The sequence below is a fragment of the Homo sapiens genome, chromosome 7 (genome assembly GCF_000001405.40).
Source record: "Homo sapiens chromosome 7, GRCh38.p14 Primary Assembly".
Classification (NCBI taxonomy): domain Eukaryota; kingdom Metazoa; phylum Chordata; class Mammalia; order Primates; family Hominidae; genus Homo; species Homo sapiens.
Window position 1 is genome coordinate 155881901 of NC_000007.14, and position 23028 is coordinate 155904928.

The 23028-nt window shown below is 52.1% G+C and overlaps 1 annotated feature.

Annotated features, from left to right (window-relative positions):
* Positions 4023-5222: an enhancer, noted in NCBI's record as "CDK7 strongly-dependent group 2 enhancer chr7:155678617-155679816 (GRCh37/hg19 assembly coordinates)". NCBI's record gives its function as "activates an origin of replication core promoter dependent on BRD2, BRD4, P300/CBP, MED14 and CDK7 cofactors, with strong dependence on CDK7, by STARR-seq in HCT116 cells {active_cell/tissue: HCT116}" and the evidence as "EXISTENCE:reporter gene assay evidence [ECO:0000049][PMID:35650434]".

Consider the following 23028-nt stretch of genomic DNA (forward strand, 5'->3'; position numbering starts at 1 on the left):
CCACTGACCAGTCACATGACCGTGAACGTCCCAAAGCCTCCTTTTCACCATCTGTGAAATGAAGGTTATGACAGTACCTGCCTCACTTGGTTGTCGCTGAGGTAGACGAGGCAAGGAGAAATACGCCAAACGTGACCGCGATGGTCGCTACACTACTGTCAGTCAGAAATGGAGGCGTCAGCTGAGGCTGCCTCCAAGGATTCTTCCCAATCGGTGATTCCGGGGCAGGCGGTGATGGGCTCCCTCCAGTCTCCTGGACGCAGTCAGCTGACCTGAAACAGAAAGCTCTCCCACGACAGCGCTCCCTCCCGAGGCGGGGCAGAGGCGGAGCCCACGGCGGCCACGCGGGCCCTGAAGGAAGGGCTTTCTTCATGTCCTTTCGCCACTGGGAAGGAATGGAGGTGTTTCTGTTTGGAAGGCCCATGGTGTCTCGGATGAAAGACTCTTCACAGGATCACAGCGAGAGGATTTTCTGTCCTAATATGAATCAGAATCTACAATAGAAAGGCAGGAGACAGCCAGGCTTGGGGAGTGTGCCTGTGGTCCCAGCTACTCAGGAGGCTGAGGCGGGAGGGTCGCCTGAGCCCAAGAGGTCAAAGCTGCAGTGAGCTGCTATAGCACCACTGCACTCCAGCCTGGGTGACAGAGCAAGACCCTGACGCCCCCCAACCAAAAAAATAAAAATAAAAAAGAGAGGGGAGAGACTTAAAACCCAATTGTTCTGGCACACTTCTGTAGCCACCCAGGAAACTCAGGGCCCAGGAGGCTGAGCATCTCCATCCGGGCCTCTTGGGGATGTAGGGAACACAGCAGGTCTCCTTGCTCCTGCCCTCTGGCCCACGCTGACTTCACTGCGTGTGTAATAATACCAAATGCATTATTCATCGTGCTTCCATTTATGAAAACCTTTAATTGTGAAATATAAAGCAAACAAAAAATGCATAAAATTCACAGACAGCATAGTGAATAATTGTAAACAACAGTGTGATTCTCCCACTGACTCAGGGAAGCAGGACCCTGCTGTCTCCCCAGAAGTTCTCCTCCCTCCTCGTGAGGAGCCCCATTGCTGACTTCCATGTGGAGCCCTTCCTTGTTTGGCCCTGTAGTTTTGAACAACGCATGTGTCTTTAAAATAGGATTTAGTGTTGCTGTTTTTCAAAGATTATAAAGTGGAATTCCACTGTTGATGTTCTTTTGAGTCATTGATTTTGCTAAACATGATGTTTTTAAGATTAGTCCATGTTGCTGCCTGCAGTTCTAACTTGTTCATTCGATTGCTGTATATGGGTCTGTCTTTCTAAATGTGCCATCATCTTGTACTCATTCTGCATTTGATGGCTATTTGAGTCGTTTCCAGCTCTTAGGAGCATCACTGGTCTGCGTGGCCTGTGTATGGGCCTAAGTGTCTCTAGGCTGTGTTGTCAGCAGTGGAATTGCTGGACCCTAGGATGTGTATTTCCTCAGCTCCCCTAGACAGTCAACTGTTCTCTAAGATGCTTGTACCAATTTTCCCTCTGCTATGGTCTGCATGATTGTTTAACAATACCTGGTGCCCCTCCTGTGAAAGGATTACACATTTCCACCTTGCTGGACCTGAGAGTGGCTGTGTGACTTGCCTGAGTCAATGAAATATGTGTGGCAGTGGCCTGTGTCACTTTGGGGCAGAAGCTCCAAGAGCCAGCACATCACACTCTTTTCCTCGCCCCCGTGATCCTGAAAGCATGCGCAGAGATGGGCAGGCTCCCACCCTGGGTCCCTGAGCAGAGCTCCTGTCTGCCATGGTGGCCAGGCAGAGTAAGCAGGGACAGAAGTGGCTGCTGGACCAGTCCCGTCCCGACCCACCCGCATGCCTAGGCCAGGGCTCGGGTGATCCCTCGCTGCTACTTCCCACGTGGTTTCCAGGCTCCTGTATGGCCTCTGCAGCTCCTCTTCCTGTTCTTGGTATGAGCTGCCCCCAAGACAGTGGGCTGGGGTGTCCTGTTGGTGTCTCTCCTTCCTTCTTGCTTCCTTTCCTGTTTGTCTTTCACTTTCCTGCCCTGTGATTGCATCAGGCCCTGGACTCCTAATGGTGGTGCCCCGTGCTGTATTCCAGGTGATGCCATGGGTGGCCCGTCCGTCCAAGGAATGACCGGTGTGATCTGAGACATAGGCTGGAGGGTGCAAGGGACGCGCTTTCAAGAAAGGGAGTCAAAGAGCCTTCTGCTGGGCCTGGAGGAGGACAGCCCCTCAGTCCCTGTGGGGCTCACTTGACTTCATGAGGTGCCCCATTCATTTCTGTTCCTGCTGGAAATCCTATCTGATTAGGAAAACGTCTAAAGAATTGGATGTCAACAGCAGGTTCTTAGAGGCTGGGTAGCCCTGAAGGTGCTGTGAGGGAGAGGGATTTGCCGGGGGTGGGTGGGTTTGGTTTGAGTGGTCTGGGAAGCTTACTCAGGGGGTTTTGTATTTGTTAAGGAAGACTGCTTTCCAGCCCCCCAGCCCCGCGCTGTGCTCGTCTGCTGCTGGAGCAGAGGCCTGGCCATCCACTCTGGGCGTCCGGAGGCAGAGCTGACATTCAGCAGGGCAGCAAGTGGCTGACAGCAAGGACGGATGGGGAAATGTCAGCTTGCTCAGCACACGGGGCTCTCGGCTACCTACAGGGTAGCTCCTGGTTCTGCCCTTGCTGTGATGTTGGTTTGCGGGAGAGTGTGGGGGACAGCCCTTCCTAGGCACCTGTGCCTGCACCCATTCACCACCTTCTCAGCCCTCGTGGGTGAACAGGTACCAGAGACACTTTCAACAAGGAACAAATAAAACTCTGTCTCTATCAAGAGGGGCTGTCCTAAGGCCTGGCCCCTTCAGGCCGGTTCCCCGGAGCCGGGAGCCCAGTAGCAAAGAGCACACTTGCTGGGAGAGGGTTTCTAAATGGGGTTGTGCCCTTTATGCACAGGCGTGAAGACCCCTGATGTAGTGGCACTGTATGGCACAGGAGGTGAGATGCAGAGGTCACACCACACAGCTAGAGCAACGGGAGACTGAGTTGAGCCCCAGAGGGGGGCCGTGGGTCAGGAAGGGGCAGGCCCCTCGTAGGGCCCCTGGAGCCCGTCACAGAGGCTGGTGGCATTCTCTTGGGTTGACTTCAGCTCTGGACTGCTTGAGGCTTCAGAGGCCACACAGCTGTTGGGCACCTGCTCTGCCTGTGTTCGCCCTTGGTTCCTGCGAATGCCTTGTTGCTGGGTGTGCCTGCGGTGGCAGAAGTGTCGCGGGGATTGCAGTGATGGGGAGACGCTGTGGACTTTCAGGTGCCTCAAAGCTTGTGCAAGGAGGGGGTGTCCCAGGAAGAATGCAGATGGAGGCAGCAGCCATCCTTGTGCTTAAAGTTGGTACAAACCAGAGGGGCCAGGCAGGCCTAGGGACACCTGGCAGGGCCAGGCCGGTGCCACAAGCTCTGGCCAGAGCCTGAGGAGCTGGGCCTTACACGGAGCCTGTGGATGCTGCCTGGAGTCCTGGAAAGCCGTAGGGTGAGGTCGCTCCTTGGCCTCAAATATTTTCCAGCCTAGTCTAGCAGTTCATCCTGTGGCTGAGTCTTCTCAGCGTGGGCCTCTGTGCCCCCTCCTCCGTCCTGGGTGCCCTGTGAGCACGCTGCTTCCTGGAAGACCCATGAATGCTCCTGCACTTCCTGCGGCCCCCAGCCCACACCCAGGAGCTGCCTTTCTTCCCCGAGTGTTTGCTCCCAGCTCTGCCCTGGGTTTGGTAGCTGCTCCATAGAACTGCTTTGTTCTGCGTGGAGCCCGTGTACCGCCCCACCATTGTGGACAAGTCACAAAAGCACAGCCCTGAGTCACCACTGCCTGGCCGGGCCTCCTGCCCTTCCCTTCCCAGGGCTGTGAGCTCATCCCGCCTCCCGTTTCCTCTCGGCACACGCTGGGCTATTCGATGATTAGACTTGTGTTTCTCTTTTGATTCTCTTCTTTTCTCTTCCCTCCTCCTCCCCCATCCTTTTCCTTCTTCCTTTGGCGTTGGTGGGGGCGGGAGGGATGAGGTGTTAGGGAAGTGAGCAAGGCACCCTGAAAACAGCCCCCCGATTCTACACAGTCAGAGTGGGGCCTGTGAGTGCACGCCGGGCAGAAGGGACAGACGTCCTGGGAAGCAGGCTTGGGGGTTTCAGTTCTGGGAAGGAGGTTGGATTGAGTGGCCTTGAAGCTTCCTTCCCTTCCTCAGACACTGAGGGTCCTGGGGAGTTGTGTGGCTTTGCTCATTCCATGGTGAAGATGCTCTGAGGGAGGTGAGTAGCAGAAATCCATGAGTCCCCGTTCATTCATTCACTCATTCATTCACTCATTCATTCACTCTGTCGATATTTATCAGACCCTGTGCTGGACACGGGATGTAGAGTGGGCAACACTGCCCTGTGTCACGGAGGGTGCAGCCTGGTGAGGGAAGCGCATCCCCGTAGGTGACAAACATGGGTAAGCGTGTGCAGACGTGGAGAGGGCGTGGGGTGAGGGAAGTGCATCCCTGTGGGTGAGAAACATGGGTAAGCGTGTGCAGACGTGGAGAGGGCGTGGGGTGAGGGACGCCCACCCCTGTGGGTGAGAAAATGGGCAAGCATGCGCAGACGTGGAGAGGGTGTGGGGGAGCAGAATGTGGTTTTACGGGTGCGATCACAGGGAGGACAGACTGGAATGGAAGGCTTAGCCCGGAGGTGGTCCTGTTCACCTGAGCGAGAGGGCGTCTGCTGGCTCCTTTCCCTGACAAGGCCAACTCGGAGGGCAAGCTGGGAGCCTGGGGTGGGGCTGGCGGGGTGAAGGGGCTCAGAGGGACGCCTGCGTTCTTCATGATCTTCCCATCCAAGACTTGCTGCACGTCGGCTTCTTCCAGGCTCCACATCACGGGCAGACCCATGCAGCTCCGCTGAGGGCGTGCGCCTGGTATGGGTGCCCTGCCGCCACGTACAGCTGAGGGAGGCCGTGGGAGCCTCCCTGGACTCATCTCTGCCTCTGTTTCTTCCCCGTGAGACATGGGAGCTGAGACCTGCCGACTGGCTGTGCTCCTGCAGGGATTGGAAAGGGCTTAACCCAGATTGGCAGAGAGCGCTGAGTGTGACTCCAGCACCCCGGGCGTCCTGATTTTGCGAAGCACTTTGGAGCTGCCAGACCCGCTCAGGGACTGCACAATCGCTCATGCAGCTCGCACAGTCAAGCACGTGGTCCTCGTCCCTGGCCTGGTGTCTCCTCCAGGGACTGCAGTTCCCAGGCCCAGGAAGCCACTCGGTTTCTGCCTGAGAGCGTTCTTTTGACCTCTTCTCTCTGGGTCTCTTCTCCCTCAAGGGCGACCCAGATGGTTCACCCCTGGTCTTCCCCTGTCCTGCCATGGCTGCACTGTGGGCTGGGGGTGGAAGGAATTCCGACTGTGCAGGAGAGAGCTGCGTGGCCAGGTCGGACAGGAGGCGTGCCGAGCCAGGGCTGGAGCTTCTGCACTTGGCTGTGGCTCCCCCGGTGTGGAGGGGTGTCGGCCTGGGCCCCTGGTCTTGAGGGGGCCGGGCAGAGGCGGCAGTGGTGGGGTGTGAGGACTGGGGGCCAGGCCAACCTACCAACCGCCCTTCCAGGGCTGGGCTGCTTTGGCCCTTGCTGTTTTATTATTTTTTAATTTAATTTTAAAAATTGAGCTATGATTCACTTATTATAAAATTCACCATTTAGAAGTGTGCAATTCGTATGTTTTAGTATATTTCAGAGTTGTGCAGTCATCATCATTAGTAAGTCCCAAACATTTTTATCACCGTGAAAGAAACCTTGTGTGCAGTAGCTGTCACTCCTCTATCCTCCCTTCCCCAGTCCATGGCGCCCACAAATCCAGTTTCTGTCTCTGAGGGGTCCCTATTCTGAACACTTCATATTTTCAGGTGGGATCATACAACACGACCAGCCTCTTTGACTTAGCATGTTCTCACGGTTCATCCATGTGGTAGCGTGCATCGGGCCTTCATTCCTTCCCACGGTGGAGTAACAGCCCAGTGCGCGAACAGACTCTATTTTATTGATGCACTTATCTGTGGGTGGACGTGTGGGTTGCATCCTTGTTTTGGGGATTGTGAGTAATGCTGCTGTGAACATTCATGTGCAGGTTGTTCGTATGAATGTCAGTTTCATGTCTCCTGGGTGCATTGGTGGGAGTGGAATTGCTGGGTCATAATTAACGTTATGGTTAATTATTTTATTTTATTTTTTGAGACAGAGTTTCGCTCTTGTTGCCCAGGCTGGAGTGCAGTGGCACTATCTCGGCTCACCGCAACCTCTGCCTCCCGGGTTCAAGCAATTCTCCTGCCTCAGCCTCCCGAGTAGTTGGAATTACAGGTATGCACCACCACACCTGGCTAATTTTGTATTTTTAGTAGAGACGGGGTTTCTCCATATTGGTCAGGCTGGTCTCGAACTCCCAACCTCAGATGATCTGCCCGCGTTGGCCTCCCAAAGTGCTGGGATTACAGGCAAGAGCCTGGGAAACTTCACCCTTACTCTATCTCAAACCATGCCAGCCTGGCAGTGTCCAGTGTGTCGGCTGGTGGCCCCATCCACACAATGGCCTCGTCCCCTCCCTTAGGGTCTTCTCTGTCTCCTGTGGGTCCCATCAGTCAATGCCTAGTCACCCTATAAATCTAACTTTCTATACTAACCCCAGCCCCCTAGACCTTAGAAGTACGTGGAGCTTTTGCTTTCTTTGTTTTATAAAACCAGGCCTGCCATTCAGCTAACTTAGTTAAGCTGGAAGTTTAGGAACCTCACTTTGCCAGAGATTACCATGAAGAGCCTAGGTTTTGCTTTTTTCTTTGAGGACAACTTTTTAACTATGTGAAACTGAATTTCCATGTACATAATAAACCCATGTCACATTACTGGTCATTGTTATTTATTGATTGTTGCCCAGCAACTCTGATCTTGTTGCTGTTCTGTTTGGGACCCAGACAATGCAAGTGGTGGAGGGATTTTCCTTGTCAGGTCTTTCAGGCTGAAGTGTGGGCACATTTGATTGTGGTGAGGGGAACGCACAGATGGTGGCATGCTTGCTGCCCCAGGGTGTCATTGCTGAAAGCCCTTGGGTGTGTGGGCTGTACCGGCAAAGGGACTTGATCAGGGGAGTGTCAGTGACAACAGTGACAAGGACAGCTGCCCCTCCTTAGTGCATCACTTGGTGAACAGGAAGGACTTTCACACACGTCTTGCCGAGGGCCCTCTGAACTGGATGGCATCATTGCGACTTTATAAGGGTGAAATGACTTTCCCAACTAGAGTGACCAACTCACCCCAGTTTGCCTGGACTTTCTGAGTTTTAGCAAGGAACGTCTCGCATACTGGGAAGCCTCTCAGTCCCAGCTCACGGGTCACAGACTACTTAGTGATAGGCTGGGCCTTGAACTTCAGACGTTTTCACTGTAGCACCTCCGCCTCTGTACTCGGAACTGTCCACTGAGGGCTGCCTGGGAGTCACTTTTGGTGCTAACCCCTTTTTTTGTTTGTTTGTAATCACACTTTCAACCCTTACCACGTCCCTAGGAGAAGGAAGTCTTGCTATTTCCATTTAATGGGAGAGGACCCGAGGCTTGTAATCGATGGATAGCTCACTCATGCAGCCAGGAGAGGCAAGGTTTGAGCTCAGCCCCGACTCCAAAGCTCTGGCTTGAATGCACGTGGCCTTCACTGCTCCGATTGCAGGTGGGAGGCGGATGATGGCAGCTCAGGGCCACTCCTGCCCTGAACCAATCCAGGGCAATGGGGAAGTGAATGGAAAGCCAGTGCCTGCCGTTGTCACCACGTCCCCACGTCACGTGTCCTGCATTGGCCCCTGTCCTAGGAGTGGGTCTGAATGAACCTGAACACCTTCATCAATTCCAGTGCTCAAGTCTCTCCTCAGAGGCATGAAACAGGCTGCCCAGGGCTGGCCATGACCTCTGGGGGACTCAACAGCCCCCAGCACCCCAGCTCCAGTCCCCTGGCATCCAGGTCACACCCCTCACCGGGATGCTGTGCAGCTGAGTGCACTAGGCTGGGGGACAGATGCCCCTTCTCACTTGACTTGCTCCTTAATTCTTGGTCTGCATTCGGCTCCCGCGAATTTGCCTGGCGAGGCCTTCTCCGTGGAGTCAGGTGCTCAGCACCTGCCTGCTGCACCCACATACGCTCTCCCCTGCCCTCTTTGGAGGTAAGAAGGAAATAAATCCACTTCTTATAAAATTGGCAAAGCCTGGGCACACACTAGTGGTTTACTTTTTGGCCGAAGGACATTTTTCCCAGCCCCACCTTCAATACGGGGGATGTCCCATGGCCTGGCAGCCGGACACAGAGGAGCTCTATGTGGTGCAAAGAGTGCAGGCCCCAGCCTGGGCCTCACTCAACTCCATCTCAACTCTCCCTAAGCAACTGCAAGGGAAGCCAAGGTCACTGGCCTCGGCGCGCCCTTCCGCAGGTCTGCTCACTCGCAGCAGCTGTGTTTGGGGGACAACGCCCTCCGTTATTTGCCCTCGCAGCTGTTCTAGCACAGAAGGGAGTTTACCAGCACCTACTGCTCAGTAAACGGAAGGTTTTCCGTCTGCCTTCCACTGCCTTCTGAGAGGTGGAGGAGGAGGAGCAGCCTTGGGAAGCCTAAACTTCTACAGACCCTTAAGACACAGCCAAGGGGTGAGGAGGGCCTTGGTGCCAAGGCAGACACTGCAGAGTGCACAGGGCAAGACCCGAGAGACTCCAGCTGGTCTGAGAGGGGTGCTGGCCATGAGGACACCCCTCAGAAAGGACAGATTCCAAGACGGAGCTCTTGATGCATTCCAAGAGCAGCCTCTCTAGACGAGAGTTGCCCAGGGCCCCGAGACCTGAGTGGCATTCTGTGGCCTGGGACATGGCTGGGCTCTTCCAAATGATTTCCCCAAGAGAGGGGCGCTGGCCATGGACTCTCCTCCAGCGGGCTTTGTTGGAGCCCCCCAAAAGGGGATCATAAGCAAAGAGGTCTAAAAACCATCTGTGGCTTCTAAATAGAGCGTTTTGGATTGCTGAAGCCTTTCCTCTCCCATAAAGCTTTCTCCAGAGAGACCAGAAGACAGTAGCATTTAGCCCTGCTTCACCAGAAGGGGCATAGCTATTAGGGAGGTGGTAGGAGTGATGGAGGTGATGGTGGTGGTGGAGGTGGTGAATGTGGTGAGATGGTAGAAATGGTGGTGGAGGTGGTGTGGGAAGTGATGGAGGTGGAGGAGGTAGTGGGGATGGGGGAGGCAATGGAGGTAATGGTGATGGAGGTGGTGAAGGTGGTGATGGAGGTGAAGAAGATGGTGGTAGTGCTGGGGTGGAATTGCTGGAGGTGGTGGAGGTGGTGCAGGTGGTGAAGGTGGTGATGGAGGTGAAGAAGATGGTGGTAGTACTGGGGTGGAGTTGCTGGAGGTGGTGGAGGTGGTGCAGGCGGTAGAGGTGGTGGAGGTGGTGATAGTGGTGGAGGTGGTGATGGTGGTGAAAGTGGTAAAGGTGGTGGTGGTGTAGGTGGTGGTGGCGGTGGTTGTGGTGGTTGTGGTGGTGAGGTGGTGATGGTGGTGAAAGTGGTAAAGGTGGTGGTGGTGTAGGTGGTGATCGTGGTGGAAGTGGTGGAGATGATGGAGGCAGTGGAGGTGATGGAGGTGGGTTGGTAGTGGATGTGATGATGTTGTTGGTGATGATAGAGGTGATGGTGAAGGGGATGGGGGTAGGGGGTAGAGATGGGAGAGGTGATGAATGTGGTGGTGGAGGAGGTGGTGGAGGTGCTGGGTGGTGGTGGAGGTGATAGAGGTGGTTATGGTGGTCGAGGTGGTGAAGGTAGTGGTAGTGAAGGTGGTGAAGGTTGTGGTGATGGAGGTGGTGAAGGTGGTGGAGGTGATGGAGGTGGAGGTGGAGGTGGTGGCTGTTGTGGGGATGGGGTGATGGAAGTGACAGAGGTGGTTGTGATGGTTGCGGTGGTGAAGGTAGTGGTGGTGAAGGTAGTGGTGGTGAAGGTGGTGAAGCTGGTAGTGAAGGTGGTGGAGGTGGAGGTAGTGGCTGTTGTGGTGGGGGTGATGGAGGTGATGGAGGTGGTTGTGGTAATAGAGGTGGTGAAGGTGGTGGTGGAGGTGGTGGTGGTGGAGATGGAGATGGTGGCTGTTGTGGTGGAGTTGATGGAGGTAACAGAGGTGGTTGTGGTGGTGGAGGTGGTGAAGGTGGTGGTGGAGGTCGTGCAGGTGGTGGCTGTTGTGGTGGAGTTGATGGAGGTGATAGAGGTGGTTGTGGTTGTGAAGGTGGTGGTGGAGGTGGTGGAGATGGAGATGGTGGCTGTTGTGGTGGAGTTGATGGAGGTGATAGAGGTGGTTGTGCTGGTGGTTGTGGTTGTGAAGGTGGTGGTGGTGGAGGTGGAGATGGAGGTGGTGGCTCTTATGGTGGTGGAGGTGACGGAGGTGATAGAGGTGGTTGTGCTGGTGGTGAAGGTGGTGATGGAGGTGGTGGAGGTGGAGGTGGTGGTGGCTGTTGTGATGATGGGGGTGATGAGGTGATAGAGGTGGTTGTGGTGGTGGAAGTGGTGGTGGTGAAGATGGTGGTGGAGGTGGTGCAGGTGGTGGCTGTTGTGGTGGAGTTGATGGAGGCGATAGAGGTGGTTGTGGTTGTGAAGGTGGTGGAGGTGGAGGTGGTGACTGTTATGGTGGTGGAGGTGATGGAGGTGATAGAGGGGGTTGTGGTGTGGAAGTGGTGAAGATGGTGGTGGAAGTGGAGGTGGAGATGATGATGGTGAAGGTGGTGGTGGAGGTGGTGGAGGTGGAGGTGGTGACTGTTATGGTGGTGGAGGTGATGGAGGTGATAGAGGGGGTTGTGGTGTGGAAGTGGTGAAGATGGTGGTGGAAGTGGAGGTGGAGATGATGATGGTGAAGGTGGTGGTGGAGGTGGTGGTGATGGAGGTGGTAAGAGTGGTGGTGGAGGTGGTAGAGGTGGAGGTGGTGGCTGTTGTGGTGGAGTTGATGGAGATGATAGAGGTGGCTGTGGTGATGGAGGTAGTGAAGGTGCTGGAGGTGGAGGTGGTGGCTATTGTGGTGGTGGGGGTGATGGAGGTGCTGGAGATGGTGGATATAGTGGTGATGGAGAGGGCAAGGGAGGTGAGCATCCAGGAGAGCTTGAAGGAACCTCAGGGATCCCTTATCCCACCCCACCTGCCTAGGGCTGCATGAATAATGAGAGAGAAAATCCATGCTGGATTCCAGAGCACCTGAGTCCCCTGTGGCGTTTTGCAGGAATATGAGCCCCTGCAGCTGCTTCTCCAGAGCACCTGAGTCCCCCGTGGCGTTTTGCAGGAACATGAGCCCCTGAATGAACCCCTGAATGAGCCCCCACAGCTGCTTCTCTTCGGGACTGCAGACGAAAGTGTGGAGCTGCTGGCCTGGCTCCCTCAACACTCACGGTCCTTCCCCACCCAGGCGCGGGGAGGTTCGTCAGAGAATAAGGCTGGACAAGGAGAGGGAACAGGAGGGGAACCTGGCCAGCGTGCTCAGCAGGCAGCGGCTCTTCCCTGGTGCGGGGAGGTGACATTGCCATGAGTTGCTGTCAGGCTGTCCCCTGGCCATCGCCTGGGAAGGCTGCAGACAGGGCAGACACTCTGTGTGCCAGAGGGGAGGCAGCACTGTGTGGCTGTGGGGCTTCTCTGTTTCTGCAGGAGAATCTCTGCTCCAGGGTCAAGCTGTCACCAGGGTGTTAAAAGGGAGCAGTCAGTTGTCTGAAACCCTCTCTGCTGCCACTGAGAGACATTTTTCCAATTTGTCAACTTATTCACAGAATTGGCAGAGGCTGTAAAATTCTCACAGTCTAGCAACCCTTGACCTCTCCAATTTAGAGAGGAACAAATCTAATCACTTTGAGGCTTGAAGAGTTGTTGGAAGCCACATAGGTGGTTTGTGGCTGAGCCGGGTCTGAAGGCCTCGTGACCCTGAGCCCAGTGTCCTGCAGGATCCACCATCCACGCCCAGCCCAGCTCCCGCTGCCTCCTCCTCCCCACTGCATCTGGCCACGCCACCCTCCCAGGGCCAGATACAATCCCAGCAGTGCTACTTAATGAGAAATTGCAGAGACGTAGTCATTAAAGTGAGGTCCTTGTCTTGTTTTCTAATAAAATGGAACTAGTGCTTACCATATATTGTCCATGTAAGATGATGCTGGCAAATGGTTCTCTAGTGGCTGGATCATGGCAGGGGCTCAGGAGCCTTGGTAACCATCATTATTACCATTGTTATCTGCCAGGTCTTCTTTTTTATTTGGTAGTTAAAAAACCAGTATGCTGAGAAAACTATTACTGCCCACTAAGAGATCCTACCTGTTGATGAGGGAATTCAGTATTTAATTCTCTGTGGAAAAGGAACTTCATTAGAGATTCCCAAATGTCAATTGGAAGACATTTTGTTTTTAAAGAACTATGTTTTCCTCTTTCTTAATTTGAGTGTGAACATATATGATTGCAAAAGACACAAAGTACAGGCAAACCTGGCTTTATTGCACTTTGCTTTATGGGCTCTGCAGATATTATGTTTTCTATAAACTGAGGGTTTGTGGCAACCCTGCATCGAGCCAGGCTAATGGCACCATTTCCGCAACAGCATGTGCTCACTTTGTGTCTCCACGTCACGTTTTGGTAATTCTCACAATATTTCAAATGTTTTCATTATAGTATCTGTTACGGTGCTCTGTGGTCAGTGATTCTTGATGTTCTTGTTGTAATTGTTTTGGGTTGCCATGACTGCACCCATGTGAAGACAGCAAACTTAATCGATAAATGTTCTGTGTGTTCTGACTTCTCCGCCAACTGGCCACTCCTTGTCCCTCTCCATCTCCTTAGGCCTTGCTAGTCCGTGAGATACAACAATATTGAAATTAGGCCAGTTAATAACTCTACAGTTGCCTGTAAGTGTTCAAGTGAAAGGAAGAGTCTCACATCTCTCACTTTCATTTCTTTTTAATTTTAAGAGATGGAGGTCGTGCTCTGTCACTGAGACTAAAATGCAGTGGCACGATTGTAGCTCACTGCAGCCTTGAACTCCTGGGCTCAAGAGACCCTTCTGCTTCGGCATCCTAAAGTGCTGGGATTACAGGCATGAGCCACTGTGCCCAGCTACATCTCTCATTTTTAATCAAAATCTAGAAATGATTAAGCTTAGTGAGGCCGCCAGTTCAAAAGCCAAGCTAGTCCAAAAGCTGGACCTTTTCTGAATGATAAAAAAGTGACACGGACTTATTGCTGATATGAAAAAAAGTTTGAGTGATCTGGATAGAAGATCAAACCAGCCACAACATTCCCTGAAGCCACAGCCACAGAGAAGGCCCTAACCCTCTTCAATTCTATGAAGGCTGAGAAAGGTGAGGAAGCTGCAGAAGAAAAGCTTGAAGCTGGCAGAGGTTGCTTCGTGAGCCGTAGGGAAAGAAGCCGTCTCCATAACATGAAAGTGCCAGGTGAAGAAGCCAGTTCTCCAGAAGATCCAGCTGAGATCAGGGATGAAGATGTCTACACTTAACAACAGGTTTTCAGTGTAGATGAAACAGACTTCTGTTGGAAGAAGATGCCACTTAGGACTTTCAAAGCTGGAGAGGAGAAGTCAGTGCCTGGCTTCAAAGCCTCAAAGGACAGGCTGACTCTCTTGTGAGGGGTTAATGCAATTTAAGTGACTTTAAGTTGTATCCAATGCTATTTAGCATTCCAAAAATCCTAGGGACCTTAAAAATTATGCTAAATCTATTCTGCCTATGCCCTATAAATGGACCCACAAAGCCTGGATGACAGCACATCTGTTTACATCCTAGTTTACTGGATATTTTAAGTTCTTGATTGAGACCTAGTATTCAGAGAAAAAGATTCCTTCCAAAATATGACTGCTCATTGACAATGCACCTGGTCATCCAAGAGCTCTGACATTGATGTACAAGGAAGTTCATGTTTTCATGCCTGCTAACACCACATCCATTCTGCAGCCCATGGATCAAGGAGTAATTCTGACTTTCAAGTCTTATATTTTGGAAATACATTTCGTAAGGTTATAGCTGCCATAGACAGTGATTCCTCTGATGGGTCTAGGCAAACTCAACTGAAAACCCTCTAGAAAGTATTCACCATCCTAGGTGTCATGAAGAACATTTGAAATTTACTAGAGGAGGTAAAAATCTCAACATTCACAGGAGTTTGGACAATGTGGATTCCAACTCTCGTGGATGACTTTGAGGGTTCAGGACTTCAGCAGAAAAAGTTACTACAGATGTGGTGGAAATAGCAAGAGAAATAGAACTAGAGGTGGAGCCTGAAGATGGGACTGAGTTGCTACAATCTCAGAATAACACTTGAACGGATGAGGAGTGGCTTCTTAAGGATGGGCAAAGAAAGTAGTTTCTTGAGATCAGGTCTACTCCTGGCAAAGATGCTGTGAACACTGTTGAAACATCAGCAAGGATTTAGAATATTACAAAATCTTAGTTGATAAAGCAGTGGAAGGGTTTGAGAGGATTGACTCCAATTTTGAAAGAAGTTCTACTGTGGGTAAAATGCTATCAGACAGCATCATGTGTTGCAGAGAAATCTTTCATGGAAGGAAGAGTCCACTGATGTGGCAAACATCATTGTCTTATTTTAAGAAATTGCCACAGGCACCCCAACCTTCAGCAACCACCACCAGCAGTCAGCAGCCATCAACATTGAGGCAAGACCCTTGTCCAGCAAAAAGATGATGACTCACTGAAAGCTCAGATGCTTAAGGTATGAACACTGGTTTTTTTAGACACAATGCTGTTGACCACTTAATGGACTACAATACAGTTAAAACATAACTTTTTTATATGCACTGGGAAACCAGAAAGTTTGTATGACTCATTTTATTGTGATGTTTGCTTTATTGTGGTGCAGTAGAGCGGGCAGAAGTTTAAGTTATAAATATACAGGCAGACCTCAGAGATGATATTGCAGGTTTATCTCTGATAGTGCAGGTTCAGTTCAACCTGCAGTATCTCTGAGGTCTGCCTGTATGTTTACAACATAAACTTCTCTCGCTAAAGAGCGGATGCAAAGTGTTAGCTACTACGATGAAGAGAACAGTTTGCATTTGGCTCCATAATGGGCTTTTCTTCTTGGAGATTTGCCCGACTTTCTCTTGTGTGTTTCACATGGGATTGGGTGGCCCTCAAAGTCTCAGCTTTGAGCTCTTTGGCCCTTTAGAGATGAGGTTTGCTGACCTCACTCCAGGGAGGAAGGAACCTTCACCACAGCTGGTCAGGCAGGGGCAGGTGCTTCCAAGGTGGCTTTGTTCATTTAGTTAATATCCCCTGAACAGCTACTCTGTCCATGTCCTCTGTATTGTGGGTGTCAGTCTGTTAGTTTCCGCAACTCAGTGAATAAATTAACTTTGTCTATGAACAGAATGGCTGTCCCTATGCCAAGGCCGTGTGGATTAATAGGAGTCTCACTTCCAAGTGGTAGAAACCCAACTGAAATTAGTTTAAACACAAGAGGAAGTTTATTGGTTCAAGTAGGTGGGAAGTTTGGGGGCCGGTGTTTTTGGTATTGCTGAATCCAGAGGTGCAGACCCGAAGACTGTCCTTCTCCAGGCCTCCCAGAAGTATTCGGCTTCATTCTGAGCTGTGGCTTCACCACCTTTCAGCAAAGATGGCCATAGCAGCTGCAGACTTCCACGGTGCTCAAAGCTTACAATTCCAGGGGCTCAGGGAGGCTCTGCCTTCCACATTTGAAACCCTGCAGAGAAGGACTTGTGTTGCCCCAGACTGGGTCAACACCGATACATCCCTGAAGGAGGGGAAGCAAGGCCCTTGGGTGAGAGACTCCTTAGAGTCTCATGAGGCTGGGAAGAGGCCGTTCCTGAAGGAAAAGCTGTAAGGCGGATGAAACATAGTCACCTGCCCCACCATGGACTGGGACCCAGGTAGGGGGAGAGCTGAGGGCAGCAGAGCTCAGGACTGCCGGGCTGCTGGAGGCTGGAGAAGGCTGCTTCCCAGAGCCAGGCAGGCATGCTGAGCCTCAGAAAACACGCAGGGCAAAGTCAGTGCTGTGGGGCCAGGGATTTGTGGACACTGGACAGGGGGCCAGGGGACCAGCTGCAGGGAGCCTCAGGGATCCCGTGCTGCAACCAGGAGCCCTTGCTGTGCTTTCAGCTCCTCCTGGGGAAAATCACAGAGGGCGAAGCCTGATCTCCCAGGCAGAAACAGGTCAGCATTTGAAGTAGGAGACGAATTCGTGAACCTTCCTGGCGAGGGATTAGCGGGGAGAGATGAGGCCAGATATCGAGCGTTCAAAGTGGCTTTTAACCTTTGGGTTGTGATCTGTGGGTTAAAACATCCTGAGATTCAGATGACTCGTTTATGGGTCACCGTGCCCTGTTCTTCTCTTACCAACCCTTGACAGTTTCACACCGACGATTATTTCAGTATTTTGGTTCTTAAGAGAATTTCAATCTGGGCAACTAAATTTTTTCAAAATGCCAGAAAATTCTCGGTGTCAAATATGATACCTGCTTTCCTTCTGAAAAGTGTTAGTGAAGTTTTTACCTTCTGGTAGATTCAAGCATAGAAACTACCTCCTGTGTAGCACCAGTGACTATCATGATTCCAGGCACATAGTAGCCACTCAAGAAATGTTGAACTAAATCAAACTTTTGCTGGAATGGCCATCACATTTTTGTCCAGAATGGCAAGGTTTTTCTTATTTTTTATTTATTTTATTTATTTATTTTTTTGAGACAGCATCTCCCTCTGTTACCCATGCTGTAGTGCAGTGGTGTGATCTTGGCTTACGGCAACCTCCACCTCCCAGGTTCAAGTGATTCTCTCTCCTCAGCCTCCTAAGTAGCTGGGATTACAGATGCGTGCCACTACAGCCCTGCTAATTTTTGTATTTTTAGTAGAGACAGGGTTTCACCATGTTGGCCAGGTTGGTCTCAAACTCAGGTGATTGGCCTGCTTTGGCCTCCCAAAGTGCTGGGATTACCGGCATGAGCCACCATGCCCAGCCTAGAACGGCAAGAACTTTAATCATATTTGAGGTTGGTAGACAGAATCACTCTCAAGGGATCCTTGGCAAAGCTTTTGCCCAATTGTGATGATTTTAGACATGGTGCCCAAGGTCTGGGGTTTTAGAACTCCTGGTTCCTTTCTTAGTGAGCCTGTGACATGATTTTGAATGCCATGGTCCACAAGGTGCTGCTGAGATGCTTGTGCACTGTGGTCTGTCCTAGGAACAATGTGATGCTGGTAAAACTTGCTTCTGGCCTATTTCCACCTTCCCAATCTATGCTCCACTTCTCCTTTCTGGTACCCAACCCCACTTCTGACTCTCGCTCCTCAACTCCAGGGATCTTGTCTCTGTCTCATTTCTGCTATTGCTCGCAAAGATGTCAACAAATGATGAAGATGAGTTAGAAGGTGGAGCCCTGTGTTCCAGCCTTTTCCCTGGTGTCCAGCCTCTGGAAATTCAGCCCCAGCCCTCCCTGCAGAAGTCTTAACCCCAGGCTTCCCACCGGAGGCCTAGCAAAGAATTCTCATGCTGTGGTCATTTGTATACTCTCTCTTCCCATGTTTTTTCAGAAAAGACTTGAGGCTAAAATTACTATAATAATCAAGAGAAGAAGAGATAAAAGGAAAGCAAGAATGGAGACAAAGGGACGAAACCTGATGGGAGATTTTCTCATAAACCATACAACGGGGTCCTGCCAGCTCACAAGGGGTGGACCACCAATTTCGCTCTGAGGTTTTCATGCTTCCCTGTAAGAGGGAAATACTATCAAGCACTAGCTGAAAATGTTTATAATAAAAAAATAGAGTTTCTCAAGAGTGGCCCAGCTGTTTCTGAGGCTGAGGGAGCTGGCTGTCTTCTACAGAGACCTGGTCTTCCTGGTCCAACCTCAGGGACCCCAGCACTGGGGGTCTCAGCAGGGAGCCAGGCTTGGCAGTGGGCTCGGGGTGTGGCTCGGGTGGAGAGGACCCTCTCGAGATGGTGCTAGATGGGAGAGGCTGTGTTTAAGCCCTTGGTGATTGTTGGGCAGTGGTGACTTGAGGTGATGTCTCCTGAGGAGACCTGGGAGACTTCTGCTGAGAAATGGCCTTTAGACCATGATCCTCATTGCTCACAGATTCTGTATTGTGAGTTTGTCTGCTTGTGAAAGTATGTTTGCACCCTCAAAATCAGTACTTGCAGAACATTGGTGGTCATTTTTGGACACATTCTGAATGGTGGAAAGTGCGAGCCCCCATCGCACAGGCTCCTGGGGAGGTGGAACTGGGTGCACTGCCTTCTTGCCCCAGCTAGGGCAGCAGCGTGGCCTCCCCTCCATGTGCTCCATTTAGTTTCAGACGTTTTGCAATTTTGTTCTTTATTGGTCATTTCGATGTTTGAAATGGCCCCAAGCACAGTGCAGTGGTGGCATCTGTGTTCCTGAGCACAGGAAGACTGTGATGCACCTTACGGAGAAAATATGCGTGTCAGAGAAGCTTTGTTCAGGCTGAGTGACGGCGCTGCTGGCCTTGAGTTCAGTGTTGATAAGCTGACAATATACATTAAATACAGTGTCTTTAAACAGAAACCCGCATCAGACAAGGTCATGTATTTATTGATAGATGAAACTGAAGTGACCAGAAGCTCACAGGAACCTAACCCTGAGTTTCCCCTAGGAACCACCATTCAGTGCCCGCTAATTCTGTGTTCATGGAGACTTTACAGAACATGACTGCTATGCACAGGCGCTGACAGCATCTTAGCTACCCCTGAGTCTGGGTGGGGTGGGCAGCTGTCCTGCAGTTGGGTGCCTGGTGCTGCCCCGGGGCCACCTCTCCTTCCAGGCCCAGCTGAGTTGGTGGCCTTTCGAACAAGCACCTCTTTATTTTGGGCAATTTCTAGATGACAATGGCATTTGTTTGCAAGTGGATCATGGGGCCTTTGCTCAATGTGACATTATTGGCCAATGGTGGCGATGCTGACTTCTGTCCCAGATGCAGTCACCTTCATGGGGGCGGACTCCCTGCTTGTCTAGGCAATCTCAAATGGCAATTTTTGACCTTCCAGCTGGACAACAAAAGGATTTTGATTTTCCAGAGACTTACTGCTCACCCCATGCTTGCCTTGGCTTGGTCACATTGCTTTGTGACCTTCAGGCTGGGGACTGTTTGGAAGGTCTGGGCACGAAAGCCTACTTTTATCCAGGACAATGAAAACCCCAAGCGCCAGCTTTTCTCAATACCCGGCTTTGCTATCTGTCTCGTTCAAAACCTGTAGGAGTCTGAAATACAATGTATGGTAACAAGTGGGCCTTTAAACCGCTATTGAAAACGCCTGTGTTGTGATGAGATAGCACATAAAGCAGTGAATGGCCCCAGCCCACAGCTAACGGCAGCAGCTTGGGCCTCTGGCCAGGCTGGCTGTGTGACCCCGCCAGGCCCCGGCCCAGCTTTCTCACTGACGTGTCAAGAAGGGAGAGGGTGAGGGTGTGGGGACTTGGGGAGGGTTGGTGGCTGGGCCTAATCCCACTCCTGTCCCCGGATGACAGTGCCCTAGCAGCTCACGGCAGAGTTTCTGGGAGCCCTGGAAGATGTCAGCGCTTGACCTTTGCTGGCTGCGGGGGCTCCTACTGCTGTTTGCGGAAGTCCCTAAGTCAGTGGCAGGAGGGTGAGTAAAATGTCACCCCTGTGCAATGCCACAGTGCTGAGGATAGTGCTGAGGGCAGTGCTGAGGACAGTGTTGAGGCTGGTGCAATGCCACAGTGCTGAAGCTGGTAGAATGTCACAAGGTTGGGGAGAATGTGGCAGATTCCCCAAACACACGGACCAGAAGCATGGTGGCCGCAGACCATAGCACAGGTCCCTCCGAGGGACAGTGGGACTGCACCGGGTGATAACAAGGGCTCCATTCCCCTACAAAGAAGTAATCAAATGCTCTGCCTCCATGTCGGCAAAGCAAGCACTTCCCACCCATGTCCTCCGTGACCACCAGGAAGGTGATGGCTCCGAACAGGGCCTCCACTCACGGGTTACCGAGGTACCTCCACCTGTGTCGTCAGTGACCACAAGGAGGGTGATGGCTCCGAACAGGGCCTCCACTCACGGGTTACCGAGGTACCTCCACCTGTGTCGTCAGTGACCACAAGGAGGGTGATGGCTCCGAACAGGGCCTCCACTCACGGGTTACCGAGGTACCTCCACCTGTGTCGTCAGTGACCACAAGGAGGGTGATGGCTCCGAACAGGGCCTCCACTCATGGGTTACCGAGGCACCTGCTGTCCTTTCCAGGGTTCTGGGACAAAACAGCACATGGACACTTGGATTTAAATTCCAGCAACACCATGATTTCAGGGGCTGTTATTTCAGCTCCTGAGCCTGTGTTTCCTTGTCTGCAGAGTGGGGTGCACATGGCCAACCTCACAGAGCTGTGGGCTCCATCAAGGTGGCTGTCGCTGTTTCCCTCTCAGTGCTCAGCGGCCCCCAGGCCACCCCTGCAAAATTGCTGCTTCCTCCCAAGAGGTTTGAGCTTGGATCAAATTCAGAACTCCCTGGAAAGGGTGGCATCAAGAGGCCCCCTTTCCAGGCATTTGCATTGATTAAACTCTCGTGTGACCTGTCCATGACTCTAGGGAGAGGAGCAACGGGGGTGATGACCGTGACAAGCTAGAGACCCTCTTGGACAGATGGTCGTTATTCCACTTGCTCCAGGCACCACCCTGTGAGTCACGGCAGGTGTTGGCATCCCATTTTCCTGAGAAAGAAATGGAGAAAATGTGACTTTCCACACAGCTTGTTAGTGGCAGAGTGGAGGTGAGGCCCCGGCTGTCCTAAGTCTGAGCAGGGCTCCTGCTGTGAGCTCAGTTCTGAGCCCAGGTTCTAGGGTCGGAAGGGAGGACTGGGTGCCTTGGAAAGGCGGCGGGAGGCCTGGCCCACAGGGAGGCAGGAGTGGAGCAGCCACAAGGCTATGGTGACCAGTAGTGACTGGGGAGGGCTGGCCGAGGATGCACACCTAGGCCCGACCAGCACTAAACTTGAGCCCTCTGCAGAGTGGAAGGGGCTGAGGCTGGTGTTGGGTGGCAAGAAGGGGTGAGTAGGTTACTTGTTGTTAGCCTGGCAGCTAGGACGGTCAGAAGCCTCTTGTTTCAGATAGAGTGATGGGGAAGTGGACTTTGGCTGGTCTTTTTGATGGTTGCTGGATCTGCTTATTCATTCGTGGGGTATTAATGAGCACCTTCCATGTTCCAGGCACGGTTCCAGGTAGGGGGATCAGGACACAGGTAAAGGAGGCAAAAAGTCTTTCCCTCAAGGAGCTTATGTGTGGTGAAGGGAGAGAAACAGTAAACAGACATCAATAAAAACATGTCATGTTGAAGGTGATGCTACTGTGGAAATAAAAAGCAGGTTGGGGACTAGGGATGCTGGAGTGGAGTGAAAGCTGCCATTTAAACCATCCGCATTGGTCGGAAACCTGAGCACAAAGACAGACAGCAAGGAAAGCCTGAGTGTGCCCAAAGGGTGGAACAGGGAATGTAGCTCTGAAGAGAACACAGTGGTTCTGAGTGCAGGAGCCCCAGGCCAGCCGTCTCTCAGCCAGGCTGCCCAATCCTGGAGGGAGCTGGCTTTGCACAGGGATGAGCCTTGTGTAGACCACTGGGTGCACGCTGCATCGGAGGGCACACAACGTCCAGCACTGCCTTGACATCTTGGAGCCTCCAGGTCCCCTAACTCTAAACTTTGAGTACCCTGCTCTCCCCAGACATGACCCTACCATCCCCTCCCTGCGACCAAGTGGGAAAGGCTCCTGCCCCTCGGCTGCACGGGTTACATCCCACCAGGCCCACAGCTTGGTTCTACCTTCCTGTCCACTCCCGGAACCACTCACTGAAGCCATTCACCATCTCCTGCAGGAACCAGCCTCCCGCCCCTCCGCCTTCACTATGTCACTACCAAGCCTACCTCCCACAGCCATGTGCACTCTGCTCCCCAGCAGAGCCTCGTGTGGCCTCCCGGCTGCCCGTCTATGTGGCTGAGAAACTGATTGCATCTGTCCAGTGCCAGGTGTCATGGGTTTGACCGTCCTCAGAAACCCAGGGTTCTCTCTTACCAGCAACGTAAAGAGGGAAACAGAACCCCAGCCATGATGTGTGCCGAGGCCTGCAGGGACACCAGGGGAGGGATGGGGAACACCACAGGATGCCACAGAGGGATGGGCAGGACCCCACGTCCCATGGAGGCTGAGAAGGGACAGAGCGGAATGGGGTTCCAGTGTCTCCCCCATCGCCAGCACTGGGCCTCCCAGAGCCCGTCAGTCATGGGACATTTAGAGACAGGCAGTGGGTACCATGTGGCAGACTTGGCTGGTGGCTCATGAACACAGCTGCTCCCTGCTTCCTCTGCTGCTTTGCTGTCACAGCAGCGTCTGTAGCTCCCCTTGCAGCTGGGCACATCTCCACCGCCACGTCCTGGCCCATGGGGTGTGGTGTGTGTCTGTTCTGGGTTGTGTTCTTACAAGGAATGGCTGTGCACTTTCCTTGCTTTTACCTGCCACCACCGGGTTTTTGGCTGAATTAGCCACCTTTGGCCCAGAATGGAAGGTCTATGTTGAGGTTGGCACAGCTATCCTTAGGGTCCCCAGTCACCTACGTCTGAACCGTTACACAAGAAAAAACAAAGTCCAATCTTGTTTAAACCATGGTATTTGGGATAATTTTGCTATAGAAGCTTGGACAGTACTCCAATCAATAAAGATAGGGAGACATTATTTACATACATTAATGAAAACAACACGAATGCTACTAATACCAGAAGTGTTATCCACCCTTTTTTGGACTTATTGTGTTTTACGTACTATCCTAAGAGCATTATGATTCAGAGATATAATTGAGTCCTCACAGCAATCTTGCAAGTCTGTTATTATTACCTTGTATTAGTCTGTTCTTGCACTGCTCTAAAGAAATACTGGGGACTGGGTAATTTATAAAGGAAAGAGATTTAATTGACTCACAGTTCCTCATGGCTGGGGAGGCCTCAGGGAACTTACAATCATGGT